This window comes from Homo sapiens, chromosome 19 (genome assembly GCF_000001405.40).
Source record: "Homo sapiens chromosome 19, GRCh38.p14 Primary Assembly".
Taxonomy (NCBI): Eukaryota; Metazoa; Chordata; class Mammalia; order Primates; family Hominidae; genus Homo; species Homo sapiens.
The window spans coordinates 21,296,310-21,310,739 of record NC_000019.10 but is presented as its reverse complement, the minus strand read 5'-3'; the positions used below and the strand labels follow the sequence as shown (position 1 = coordinate 21,310,739).

General features: G+C 37.1%; 1 protein-coding gene across 5 annotated transcripts in view; it reads left to right on the top strand.

Moving 5' to 3' along the window:
* ZNF708 (zinc finger protein 708) overlaps positions 1-14,430 on the top strand; it is a 38,251-nt gene that overhangs the window by 18,671 nt on the left and 5,150 nt on the right. For 2 of the 5 annotated variants that reach the window (NM_021269.3, XM_047439310.1), the window contains 2 exons: positions 113-239; positions 1,399-1,494. The exons of 1 other annotated variant lie outside the window; for it this stretch is intronic. In NM_021269.3, coding sequence (NP_067092.2) covers positions 113-239; positions 1,399-1,494 — 223 coding nt within the window. The remainder of the gene's footprint in view (positions 1-112; positions 240-1,398; positions 1,495-14,430) is intronic. 2 more of the 5 variants (NM_001297561.2, NM_001297560.2) reach the window with 1 other exon arrangement.

Below are 14,430 nucleotides of genomic sequence, written 5' to 3'. Positions count from 1 at the left end.
ACTCCTATAAGTCAGAACCAGTTCTCTTTACTCTCTCATTTCACCTTGAGTCAAATTAAAAATTCTGTCCATAACCACTTGGTAAATATGTGTGTGTGTATGTGTTTTTCAGGGACCATTGACATTTATGGATGTGGCCATAGAATTCTCTCTGGAGGAGTGGCAGTGCCTGGACACAGCACAGCAGAATTTATATAGGAATGTCATGTTAGAGAATTATAGAAACCTGGTATTCCTGGGTGAGGATAAGTTTTTTTTTTTTTAATTTTTATTATTTATTATTATTTTTTTTTTTGAGACAGAGTTTCACTCTGTCACCCAGGCTGGAGTGCAGTGGCGCAATCTTGGCTCATTGCAACCTTTGCCTCCAGGGTTCAAGAGATTCTCCTGCCTCAGCCTCCTGCGTAGCTGAGATTACAGGCATGTGCCACCATGCCCGGCTAATTTTTGTATTTTTAGTAGAGATGGGGTCTTACCATGTTGGTCAGGCTGATCTCGAACTCCTGACCTCAGGGTCTGCCCGCCTCAGCCTCCCAAAGTGCTGGGATTACAGGCGTGAGCCACCTTGCCCGGCAAGGTGAGGATAACTTTAATATACAATTCCTAATATACTCTAAAGGTTTTATTTCTCTTTTTTGTTGCGTGTTTTTTTGGCAATTTATGCTTACATAAATGAGTTTCAACTACCTGTTTTTAAGAAAATGTAGGATTTATCTGTGTAGATGTTTCACCCTGACCTGAACTTTCCACGTTTCTGAGCTGATCTGTATCCTTCACTCTAGATTAGTGGTAATTCCAGAAATTTAGTGGCATAAAATACTGTTGCCCACACCTTAAAATCTAATTGCCACCACCAATTTTTGATTCAGTAGCACTGAGTAGTAAAATTAAGAACATACAAATTGAAAATATTTTCTTAATATTTAGAAATTTTGTTATAAGTTAGTATTTTGTGATTAATTTACTAGAATATATTTTGTGATTAATATACTAGAATATTCTATTACATTCTCTTTTTAAAATATTTTTTTCTGAGACGGAGTCTTGCTCTGTCACTCAGGCTGGATGCAGTGGTGCAATCTTAGCTCACTGCAACCTTTGCCTCCTGGGTTCTAGTGATTCTCCTGCCTCAGCCTCCCGAGTAGCTAGGACTACAGGTGTGCACCACCATATCCAGCTAATTTCTGTATTTTCAGTAGAGACAAGGTTTTGCCATGTTGACCCATCTGGTCTTGAACTCCTGACCTCAGGTGATCTACCCACCTCGGCCTCTCAGAGTGCTGGGATTACCAGGATGAGCCACTGTGCCTGGCCTACATTCTCTTTACTGAGAAAATTACTAGGTTGGTAATTGGAGAATATGAGCAAGATTCACGTTATTTATTTTTAATAAAACAGGTATTGCTGTGTCTAATTTAGACCTGATCACCTGTCTGGAGCAAGGAAAAGAGCCCTGGAATATGAAGAGACACGAGATGGCAGCCAAACCCCCAGGTAGGTGAGAGTGAACACAACAGATGACACAGATGTGAGGTCCAAAGGTAAAAGAGAAAACCAGTCCTTAAAATTTGACTTGGAAATCTGTGTTCCAAAGTTTCTAGGCAGCTGTTTTGTTTTTTTAACTTTAATATAGGGGCGTCTTCTGTCTTATGCTTTTAAATTCTTTAAAAATTCTACTTTCCCTTCAGCGATCTTCCTTCAAGTTTACAGTGAGCTAAAGTCCTCTTCATGGCATATAAGAGATTGCACAATCTGACTTTTTTTTTCCATTGTTTTTGGAGACTCAGAAATATCTGCATAATTTTGAGAAACTCTGTGTTAAACTATTTTGTAAGTTCTCTTTTTGCATCATGTCTGAAATGTGTAAGAGTTGTGGTTTCTGTTCCATTGTTTTTTTTATTTTTCTGCACATTTCATCTTATTTGTATTACTACAGGCTTGAAATATAGTTTGAAATTTAAAAGTATGATGTTCACTTTGTTCTTATTCCTCATGATTGCTTTGACTATTCAGTTTCTTGTAGTTTTGGCTGGGGGGGCAGTGGCTCACAGCTGTAATCCTATCACTTTGGGAGGCCAAGGCAGAAGGATCCCTTAAGCCTAGGAGTTGGATACCAACCTGGGCAACATAAGGAGACCCTGTCTCTTAAAAAGATTTACTGGGCTGGGCACGGTGGCTCACTCCTGTAAACCCAGCACTGTGGGAGGCCGAGATGGGTGGATCACCTGAGGTCAGGAGTTCAAGACCAGCCTGAACAACATGGTGAAATACCGTGTCCACTAAAAATACAAAATTAGCCAGGTGTGGTGGTGCATGCCTGTAATCCCAGCTACTCTGGAGGCTGAGGCAGGAGAATTGCTTGAACCCGGGAGGCAGAGGTTGCTGTGAGCTGCGATTGTGCCACTGCACTCCAGCCTTGGCAATAAGAGTGAAACTCAATCTCAAAAAAAAAAAAAAAAGATTTATTATAGTTTCATGTAAATTTAGGGATTGTATTTTCTATTACTATGAAAAAAATGCCACTAGAATTTTGGTAGGGAGTTTCTTGAATCTATAGCTCACTTTGGATAATATGGTATTTTAACAATATTTATTCTTTAAATCCATAGATATTAAATATTTTAAAACTTGTGTCTTCTCTGATTTCATCATTGAAATCTTATATCTTTTATTGTAAAGATTTTTTTCACTTTCTTGGGTGAATTTGTTCTCAGAAATATATTATTTTAATGCTATTATAAATAATATTGCTTTCTTCCTTTATTTTATTAGACAATTTAGGTTTATAGAATGATAACTTATAAGTTGAGTTTATATTTGGTAATTTACTGAGTGTATTTATTAGATAGGTTTTAATGTACTGTTTATGTATTTTTATATGTAAGATTTTATGATCTACAAACAAACATTTTACTTGTCTTCAATTTCAATGGGTTTTTTATTTTTTGACTAATTCTTCTGCCACATATTTTCAGTGTTATGTTAAAAGAGAAGCATTGACAAGTGGGCACAATATAGTTTGGCATTGGTGTCTGTAAATTTGAAAATGCAAATGCCTCTTCAACTTTTTATAAACTGATAAACTGATTTCAGAAGGTAAAGATTTTTTTTTTTTTCCGAAACTGAGTCTCACTCTGTCACCCAGGCTGTAGTGCAGTCATGTGATCTCGGCTCACTGCAACCTCCGCCTCCCGGGTTCAAGTGATTCTGGTGCTTCAGCCTCCCGAGTAGCTGGGATTACAGGCTTGTGCCACCATGCCCAGCTAATTTTTGTATTTTTAGTAGACGGGGTTTCACCATGTTGGTAAGGCTGGTCTTGAACTCCTGACCTTGTGATCCACCCGCCTCAGCTTCCCAAAGTGCTGGGATTACAGGCATGAGCCACTTCGCCCAGACAAGATCTTCTTTTTTGGGCTGCCAGGGTTCTGGGATGCCCTCTGGGTTTGTGGAGAGGGGTAGTAGCTTGGTCTCAAGCCTGCAGTTTCTGTGCTGGGGTCCACCTTTAGTTGGCTGGTTACAAGGGGCTTGGATAGTTGTAATTCCTATTGTATTTTATTGTATTTTATTTTATTTTATTTTATATTATATTTTATTTTATTTTATTTTATTTTTTATTTTATATTTTATTTTATTTTATTTTATTTTGTATTTTATATTTTATTTTATTTTATATTTTATTTTATATTTTATTTTATTTTATTTTATGTATGTTATGTTATGTTATGTTTTATGTTATGTTATGTTATGTTATGTTATGTTATGTTATGTTATGTTATGTTATGTTATTTTTCTTTTGAGATGGAGTTTTGCTGTTATTGCCCAGACTGGAGTGCAGTGGCCTGATCTCAGCTAACTGAAACCTCCGCCTCCCGGGTTCAAGCGATTTCTCCTGCCTCAGCCTTCCGAGTAACTGGGATTACAGGTGTGCACCACCACACCCGGCTAATTTTTGTATTTTTAGTAGAGATGGGGTTTCACCATGTTGGTCAAGCTGGTCTCGAATTCTCGACCTTGTGATCTGCCTGCCTCGGTCTCGCAAAGTGCTAGGATTACAGGCCTGAGCCTCCATGCCCGGCCAATATTTGTAACATTTTAAAACAATAGCTGCTCTTTTGTTTTCTACCAACAATCAACAGGGGTTTTATTTTCATTGCATTATCAACAGATTTGGTGTTTTTCATAAATTTACAGTAGCCATTGTAATGGGTGTGAGGTGATTTCATTTTTCTTTTTTATGTGTTTCTCTATAAATTATTAATTTTGCTTTTCTTTTCAAATACTTTTTCCCATTTGGGTATCTTTTTAAATGAAAATTCAGTTCAATTATTTTTTCATTAATAAATCAAGTTATTCAGCTTTATTGTTCAGTTTTAAGAGTTGTTTATATATTCTGAATATTAACTCATCACTCATCTCTTGTGATTTGCAAATATTTTCACCCATTTTCTAGGAGGCATTGTCTATTGAATTTTTGTTTTGATGTGCAGAAATTTTGAAGTATAATGCAGTTAAATCTTAATGGTTATTGTTGTTGTTGTTGTTGCTCATGCATTTAGTGTCATATCTAAAAAAATAGTGCCAAGACCAATGACATGACTTTTTCCTATGTTTTTTCTAAGAGATGTTATTTATCTTTTCATGTTTAAGTATTTAGTTAAACCATATTTTTTGTATTTTGTTCAAGGAAATGATCCAACTTTATTTCATCAGTGTCGCTTTCCAGTTTTCAACAATATTTTTTGAAGAGAATATCTTTTCTTTATTGTATGCTCATGGCAACTTTGTGGAAGGTTATTTTATCTTATACAGAAGAGTTCATTTCTGGGCTCTCTGTTCTTTCATCTGTTTATCTTTGTGTCAGTACCACATTGTTTTGTTGTTGTAGCTTTTAATATGTTTTGAAATCAGAAAGTATAATGCCTCTTTGTTCTTTTTCAAGGGTGTTTATCTATAGTTTGTAATCAAATTTAAAAATTTTAGGCCAGGCCCGGTGGCTCACGCTTGTAATCCCAGCACTTTGGGAGGCCCAGGCGGGCAGATCATGAGGTCAGGAGTTAGAGACCATCCTGGAGAACATGGTGAAATCCCGTCTCTACTAAAAAAAAATACGAAAATTAGCTGGGCGTGGTGGCGGGTGCCTGTATTCCCAGCTACTCAGGAGGCTGAGGCAGGAGAATCACTTGAATCCAGGAAGCAGAGGTTGCAGTGAGCCGAGATCAGGCCACTACAGCCACTGCACTCCAGCCTGGCAATAGAGTGAGACTCCATCTAAAAAAAATAAAAATAAAAAAATAAACTATATTTCTGTAAAAAACTGTGTGATTAGGGTTTTTATAGAGATTATATTAAATTCATTCACCACTGTTAGGTCATAGTAATGTCTTTGAAAAATTAAATTTTTTGACCCTGGAGCAAGAATATGTTGAAAAGTGGCTGGGTGCAGTGTCTCACGCCTGTAATCCCAGCACTTTGGGAGGCTGAGGTGAGCGAATCACAAGGTCAAGAGATCGAGACCATCCCGGCCAACCTGGTGGAACCCTGTCTCTACTAAAAATACAAAAATTAGCTGGGCGTGGTGGCACGCACCTGTAGTCCTAGCTACTCAGGAGGCTGAGACAGGAGAATTGCTTGAACCCTGGAGGCAGAGTTTGTAGTGAGCCGAGATCACACTATTGCACTCCAGCCTGGCAACAGAGCGAGACTCCATCTCAAAAAAAAAAAAGAATCTGTTGAAGAGTGTGTTTTAATTTCCTATATTTTTGGATTTCCCAGTTTTACTTTGGCTTTTAATGCCTAGTTTCTTTCAGTTTTGGTCAGAAAACATAGTGTATACTTTTGGTCTTCTTAAATGTATTTGTTGTTATTTTGAGACAGGATATTACTCTGTTGCCCAGGCTGTAGTGCAGTGACATGATTTTGGCTCGCTGCAACCTCAGCCTGCTGGGCTCAAGTGATCCTTTTACCTCAAATTTTTGAGCTGGGACTACAGAAATGCACTACTACCCCTGGTTAATTTTTTGATTTATTAGTAGCGACAGGGTCTCACTATGTTGTGTAAGCTGGTCCCAAACTTTTTGCCCCATGTGATTTTCCCAAAGTGTTGAGATTATAGATATGAGCCTCTGCACTCAGCCAGTATTCATAAATTTAATAAGACTTGGTATGTGTCGTAACAGAACACACTAGGAGCAAGTAAGAATATTGTGTGTATTCTCTTGCTTTTGCCTGGTAAGTTTTGTACATATCTGTTAAGCCTAGTTGGTGATATGATATGGTTGGCCTAAGGTTAGAGGATGTCCATTTTCTCTAAACCTCATGCTGCAATATAATCCTCCTGTTTGATGTGGGACCTGGTGGGTGGTGTTTGGGTCATGGGGGAGCAAATTCCTCATAAATGGTTTGGCACCATCCTTTTGATAATCAAAAAGGTTACGCTCTATTGATTCAAATGAGAGCTGGTTGGTTAAAAAAAAAAAAAAAACCTGGCTTCTTCACCTCACACTTACTCTGTCTCTTACTGTGTGATGTGTCCACTTATACTTTGCCTTCCACAATGATTATAAGCTTACTAGGACCCTTACTCACCAGAAACAGATGCTGGCACACACTTCCTGTACAGTCTGCTGAACTGTGAGCCAAATAAACCTTTTTTCTTTATAAATTATCTACTCTCAGGTATTCCTCTGTAGGTAAAATAATTAATACAGTCTATAATGTCTGAGTTTTTTATTTTCTTATTTATTATGGCAAATGGGGTGTTGATGTTTACAGTTATTATGTTGCTAAGTATTTCTTCACTTTTGTCAGTATTTGCTTTATATATTTTGCAGCTCTTATGTTTTATACATACATACATATATAGAGAGAGATATAATAGTTATAGATTCCTGGTAAATTGACCTATTTTATTATTATATAATATCAATTTTGTTCTCATGCTAGTACTTGACTAAAAGCATATTATGTCTAATATAATTATAACTACCTTACCCAATTGTGGTTACTATATGCATGAAAAATAAATTTTTTCTATTACGTTACTTTCAGTCTATTCAATGCAATGCTAAAACCAGTCTCTTGTAGGCAGCATATTGTATGCTTTTTTCCAGTTACTCAGATGTTTTATTTCTTTTTCTTTTTTATAATTTTATTTATTTATTCATTTATTTTAATTTTTTTTCTTTTTGAGAAAGGATCTCACTCCATTGCCCAGGCTGGAGTGCTGTAGCGTGATCTTGCCTCACTGCAACCTCCACCTCCTGGATTCAAGTGATTCTCATGCCTCAGCCTCCCAAGTAGCTGGGATTACAGGCATGTGCCACCACACCCATCTAATTTTTTCTATTTTCAGTAGAATTGGGGTTTCACTGTGTTGGCCAGGGTAGTGTCAAATTCCTGGCCTCAAGTGATCCACCCACCTTGGCCTCCCAAAATGCTGGGATTACAGGCATGAGCCACCATGCCTGGCCTATTTATTCATTCAGTTTTGAAATAGGGTTTCACTCTGTCAATCAGCCTGGTTTTCAGTGGCATGATCATGGCTCACTGCAGCCTCAACTTTCCAAACTCTGATGATCCTCTCATTTCGGCCTCTCAAATAGCTGTGTTACAAATATTTGCCATCACACCCAGCAAGTTTTGTTGTATTTTTTTTTGTAGAGACAGGGTTTTGAGATGTTGCTCAGGCTGATCTCAAACTCCTGGGATCAAGTGATCAGCCCACTTTGACCTCACAACATCCTAGGATTATGTTTCTTTCTATTAAGTAGTTTAATTAATTAGTATTTAAAATGATTGCTTTAAAATAGAGTTGCTATTACCAGTTTTACTGTTATTGTTATGTGTTTCTTGTAGATTTTTTTTTCTCATTTCTTGTTGTGCTGCTTTTATTTTTGTTTATTCTATGTAGTGATATGCTTTGGTTATTTTTCCATTTCCTTATTTATACTTTCGATAAATATTATCTTTGTAATTGTCTTGAGAAATGGAGATTACATAAAACATTTTAATATGAAAATAATATATTTTATTTTATTTTTTTGAGACACAGTCTTGCTCTGTCACCCAGGCTGGAGTGCAATGGCATGATCTCGGCTCACTGCAACCTCCACCTCCCAGGTTCAAGCAATTCTCCTGCCTCAGCCTCCCAAGTACCTGGGCTTACAGGTACCTGCCACCACACCCAGCTAATTTTTTGTATTTTTAGTAGAGATGGGTTTTTGCCATGTTGGGCAGTCTGGTCTCAAACTTCTGACCTCAGGTGATACACCCGCCTCAGCCTCTCAAAGTACTGGGATTACAGATGTGAGCCACAGCACCCAGCCAAAACTAAAATGATATATTTTAATCTCGTAACAACTTCAATTTAATACAAAAGCTATACCTTTATATTTTTCAGTAGTTATTGATATTGAAGATTATTTTATACTATGCATCTACTAACAGATTTATATTTTATATTTCATATTCTATAGAAGTAGTTTAAGGATTTTGTGTACCATCATTATGATAGTAAATAATTCTATATGTGTCTGTATATTTACATTTAATAGAGAGCTTTATTTTATATATGGTTTTATGATGCTGGCCAGCATCATTTTAATTTTCAAAAAAATGGACTCATTTTAATATTTCTCTTTGTTTATATGCAGAGTCTCACTATGTTGCTCAGGCTGATCTTGAACTCCTATTCTCAAGTGATCTGGCTGCCTTGGCCTGCTAAAACTGTAGGATTCATAGGCCCGAACCACAGTGCCTGGACACCATGTAGTACTTTTCATAGGACTGTGCTTGTAGTGATGAACACCCACACCTTTTATTATGGAGTCTTTATTTTTATCTTGTTTTTAAAGTAAAATAATTTTGGATCAAGTATTATTGGTTAGAAATATTTTTTTATCACATCAACATTTGGAAAGTTCTTAGGTTTTTCTTTTCTTTTTTGAGACAAAGTCTCACTCTGTTGCCCAGGTTGGAGTGCAGTGATGTGATCTCGGCTAACTGCAATCTCCACCTCCCGAGTTCAAGTGATTCTCCTGCCTCAGCTTCCTGAGTAGCTGGGATTACAGGCACGTGCCACCATGCCCAGCTAATTTTTTTTTGTTTGTTTGTTTGTTTTATTTTTGAGATGGAGTCTAGCTGTGTCGCCCAGGCTAGAATGCAGTGGCTTGATCTTGGCTCACTGCAACCTCCACCTCCCGAGTTCAAGCAACTCTCCTGTCTCAGCCTCCGGAGTAGCTGGGATTACAGGGGACTGCCACCATGCCTGGCTAATTTTTTTTGTATTTTTAGTAGAGATGGGGTTTCACCATCTTGGCCAGGCTGGTCTCAAACTCCTGACCTTGTGAAACACCTGCCTTGGCCTCCCTAAGTGCTGGGATTACAGGCATGAGCCACCGCACCCTGTCTAACTTTTGTATTTTTTTAGTAGAGATCGGGATTCACTATGTTGGCCAGGCTGGTCTTGAACTCATGACCTCAAGTGATATGTCCACCTTGGCCTCCCAAAGTGCTGGGATTACAGGGGTGAGCCACCGTGCCTGGCTCTCAGGTTGTTTTTATCTTGAAATGTCCTCATATTACTTTTTCTCTGTATTCTTTTTCTAGGATTTCTTTCATGAATATATTAATCTACTTGATAGTGTCCAATAAGTTTTACATTTCATATTTTAATTTTGTTTTGCAATTTTATATTTTTGAGTTATATTTTTTAGGTTATGCCACCTCACACCAATAAATTGTGTTTTGATATTTGAGTTTGTATTATAATTGTGTATGACAGGCCGGGCATGGTGGCTCATGCCTGTAATCCAAGCATTCTGGGAGGCCGAGGCAGGTGGATCGTGAGGTCAGGAGTTAGAGACCATCCTGGCTAACACAGTGAAACCTTGTTTCTACTAAAAATACAAAAAATTACCTGGGCCTGGTGGTGGGTGCCTGTAGTCTCAGCTATTTGGGAGGCTGAGGCAGGAGAATAGCATGAACCTGGGAGGTGGAGCATGCAGTGAGCCGAGATGGTGCCACTGCACTCCAGCCTGGGAGACAGAGCGAGACTCTGTCTCAAAAAATAATAATAAATAATAATAATAAATTGTATATGACAATGATTAACTCAATGCAATTTAAGACAATGTCAAGCAAAATTAAATATGAATCAGCCATATGTCTACTGCCAATATAATTATCTCTGTTTGCTTGTGTAAATATTATCCCTGTTTTGTTTTTTTTTTTTTTTAGACAGAGTTTCGTTCTTGTTGTCCAGGCTGGAGTGCAATGGTGCGATCTCAGCTCACCGCAACCTCCGCCTCCCAGGTTCAAGCAATTCTCTTGCCTCAGCCTCCCGAGTAGCTGGGATTACAGGCATGTACCACCATGCCTGACTAATTTTGTATTTTTAGTAGAGATGGGGTTTCTCCATGTTGAGGCTGGTCTCCAACTCCTGACCTCATGTGATCTGCCCGCCTCAGCCTCCCAAAGTGCTGGGATTACAGGCGTGAGCCACCGTGCCCAGCATTTTTTTTTTTTTTTTGAGACGGAGTCTTGCTCTGTTGCCCAGGCTGGAGTGCAGTGGCACGACGCCTGGCTAATTTTGTATTTTTAGTAGAGATGGGGTTTCTCCATGTTGGTCAGGCTGGTCTCGAACTCCTGATCTCGTGATCCGCCTTCCTCCCAAAGTGCTTGGATTACAGACATGAGCCACTGCACCCAGCCTATCCATGTATTTTTGTTATAACTTGTGTATTTGTTGTGTAGGTGTGTTGTGAATAGTTGTTTAATCCTGTCTAAGTGAATAGTGTTAGAAATTCTTCTAATATTAACATTCAATTTATTTGTGAATCTCTATTATTTTTGGATTTAAAGATATTTTTAAAACTATGATAACTTTATCTAAGTATTATTGTTTACTTTTACTTGTCAAAAACACAGCAAAATTTAGAATTAAAAAAACAATTTTTTTTTTTTTTTTTGAGATGGAGTCTCACTGTGTCTCCTGTGCTGGAGTGCAGTGGTGTGATCTTGGCTCACTGCAACCTCCGCCTCCTGGGTTCAAGGAATTATTTTGACTCAGCCTTCTGAGTAGCTGGGATTACAGGTGTGCATCACCACCCCTAGCTAATTTTTTGTTGTTGTTATTGTTGTTGTTGTTGTTTTAGTAGAGATGGGGTTTCACCATGTTGGCCAGGCTGGTCTTGAACTCCTGATTTCAAGTGACCCATCTGTCTCAGCCTCTCCAAGTGCTGGGATTACAGGCATGAGCCACTGTGCCTCACCTAAAAGATTTTTAAATATTTAGTTTATTCATATTAATTATATTTATATTGGTATGCAACATATGCTAAAATGTTTTTATCTTGCAAAGCTAAATCTGTTTTTTTGTGTGTGTGTATGAGACAGAGTCTCACTCTGTCACCCAGGCTGGAGTGCAGTGGTGCAATCTCGCCTCATTGCAACCTCTGCCTCCCAGGTTCAAGCAATTCTCTGCCTTAGCCTCCCAAGTAGCTGGGATTACAGGCACCCGCCACCATGCCTGGCTAATTTTTGTATTTTTAGTAGAGACGGGGTTTCACCATCTTGGCCAGGCTGGCCTTGAACTCCTGACCTCGTGATCCACCCGCCTCGGCCCCCTAAAGTGCTGGGAGTACAGCACTGCCTGGCCGTAAAGCTAAATCTTAATATACATTAAACAACTACCAATTATTCCCATTTCATCTCACTTTTCAAACACCATTCTTGTTCTGTTTCAGAGTGTAACTGTTAGACATATCATACAATCTCTGTCTTTTTGTGACTGGCTCGTTTCATTTTGCATAATGTTAAGATTTATCTTTATAGTTGTTATAATATTTTCTGCTGTTTGCAAACTGAGTGATATTCCGTTTTTATATTTCAAATTATATTTACTAAATGATTTTGTAACAGAAATTTGCATTGCTTTTACCTATTGGCTTTCAGTAACAGTGCTGCAATAATTATGGGTAAGCAAATGACTCTTTATATGACCATATATGTGAAAGTTCATGTGCTGGATTCTATTTTATTAGTCTACTTTCTTATCTTTATATTCACACAAAATTGTTTTTATTATGTAGCTTTGTCATGTATTTTGAAGTAAAGAACTGTGATACCTCTAACATTGTTCCTTTTTTTGAAGATTGTTGAGTATAGTCTCTTGAGATTCCATATACTTTTGGGGTTGCTGTTTCTATTTCTTCAGAAGTGCAATAAGAAATTTGAAAGACATTACATTAAATCTCTAGATTACATTCAGCAGCATGGACATCTACACAATATTAATTATTTCAACCTTTGAACAACAGCACACTCAAAAGTGTGTTGTTCAATTTCTATATATTTGTGAATTTTTCCGTTTTTTAAATTATTGTTTTATAATCTTATTCCATTTTGGTCACAGAAAGTAATTCATAAAATTTCAGTTTTAAAAAATTTGTTAAGAATTTTTTTTGGCCTAACAGATGGTCCTTTCAAGGAGAATGTTGTATGAACTATTGGGAAGGGTGTGTATCCTGATGTTCAGCTCTCTATACCTCTGTTAGAAATAATTGTTCCATACTGATTTCAAGTTTTCTATTCCCTTGCTAATATTCCATCTTGTTTTATTTTTATTAAGAAAATGGGGTCTTAATATATTCTACTATAATTATATTGCTCTCTGTGTGTTTCTTCAATTCCGTCAATATTTGTTTTATATATTTGAAACCCTCATGTGAGATGTGCGTCTGTACACATACACACACACACACACACACACACACACACACTAGTCATTTGTTCCCAGTAAATGAAACTACTATTGTTCAGTGTCCTTTTTTCTCTTTTCAGAGTTTTCACTTAAAGTACATGTTGTTAAATATGACACTTTTTGACTTAAGATGTAGCTTGTGTAATATTATTTTGACCTCTTCTTCTCTCATTTGGTTAATATTTACATAAAATTTCTACTTTCATCTTGCTACTTTCAGTCTTTTTTTATCATTAGGTTTCAACTGACTTGCAAAAAGGCAAATGAATCTTGGTATTTGAAAGATTTTAATAAATCATTTCGTTGAAAATTATGTCTCTAGATTGAAAAGTTAATTTTATATATATTTAAATAATTTTCTGAAAGAGTAACTAATGTAATTTTATTAATTCTATTGTTTAATTCTTGTATCTTTGTCCCTCATTTTCCCTCTGTCTTCTTTTGTGTCCTTTGGTTTTTGTATTAATATGCTTTCACTTCTTTCTTATTTTCTTTTATGTATCTATACAGATATTTTCTTTGTGGTACCTTGGGAATTACATAAAAACTTTAGAAAATAAAACAATTTTAATGTAGTAAAAATTAACCTTATTTGCACCACAGTTGCTTGAATCCGGGAAATGTAGGTTGCAGTGAGCTGAGATCATGCCAGCCTGGGCGACAGAGTGAGACTCCATCTGAAAAAAAAAAAAAAAAAAAAAAAAAAAAATATATATATATATATATATATATATACCTTATTTGCATACAAAAATTCTTTCTCATTATATCTGCTCTCTACTTTGTTACTGATGTTGCTAATTATATACATATATATTTTTTAAATTTTTATTTATTCATTTTTTTTGAGAGACAGTCTTGCTCTGTCACCCAGGCTGGATTACAATGGTGCAATCATGGCTCACTGCAACCTCCACCTTTCAGGTTAAAGCGATTCTCCTGCCTCAGCCTCCCAAGTAGCTGGGATTACAGTTGCCCACCACCACGCCCAGCTAATTTTTATATATTTAGTTGAGATGGGGTTTCACCATGTTGGCCAGGCTGGTCCTGAACTCCTGACGTCAGGTGATCCGCCCTCCTCAGCCTCCCAAAGTGCTGGGATTACAGGCATGAGCCACTGTGCCTGGCCACTAATTATTTATTTTTATGTTACATTAACAGATGTTTATAATCATTTCTATGCTTTTATCTTTTAAATTTTAGAGAAAAATTAATAATGTTTTCTGCATGATTATTAAAATGCTAAGGAATTCTGTTTTTGTGTATGTAAATATCTTTCCCAGAAAGTTATGTATTTTTGTATGATTATGTGTTTTCCTGCATCATGTTATTTTCAGTGGGATGAACTCCTTTCAGCATCTTTGGTATGTAGGGCATATGAAGTGCCAATATACTTTTTCAGGATTAGGTTATTTTGGAAGGTCTTTCTTTTTATTCAGTTGGACAGTTCTTTTTTATTTATTTATTTATTTATTTTGAGAAGGAGTTTCGCTCTTGTTGCCCAAGCTTGAGTGCAATGGCATGATCTTGGCTCACTGCAATCTCCGCCTCTCAGGTCCAACCGATTCTCCTGCCTCAGCCTCTTGAGTAGCTGGGATTACAGGGGCACGTGACCACGCCCGGCTAATTTTTTATATTTTTAGTAGAAACGGGGTTTCACCATGTTAGCT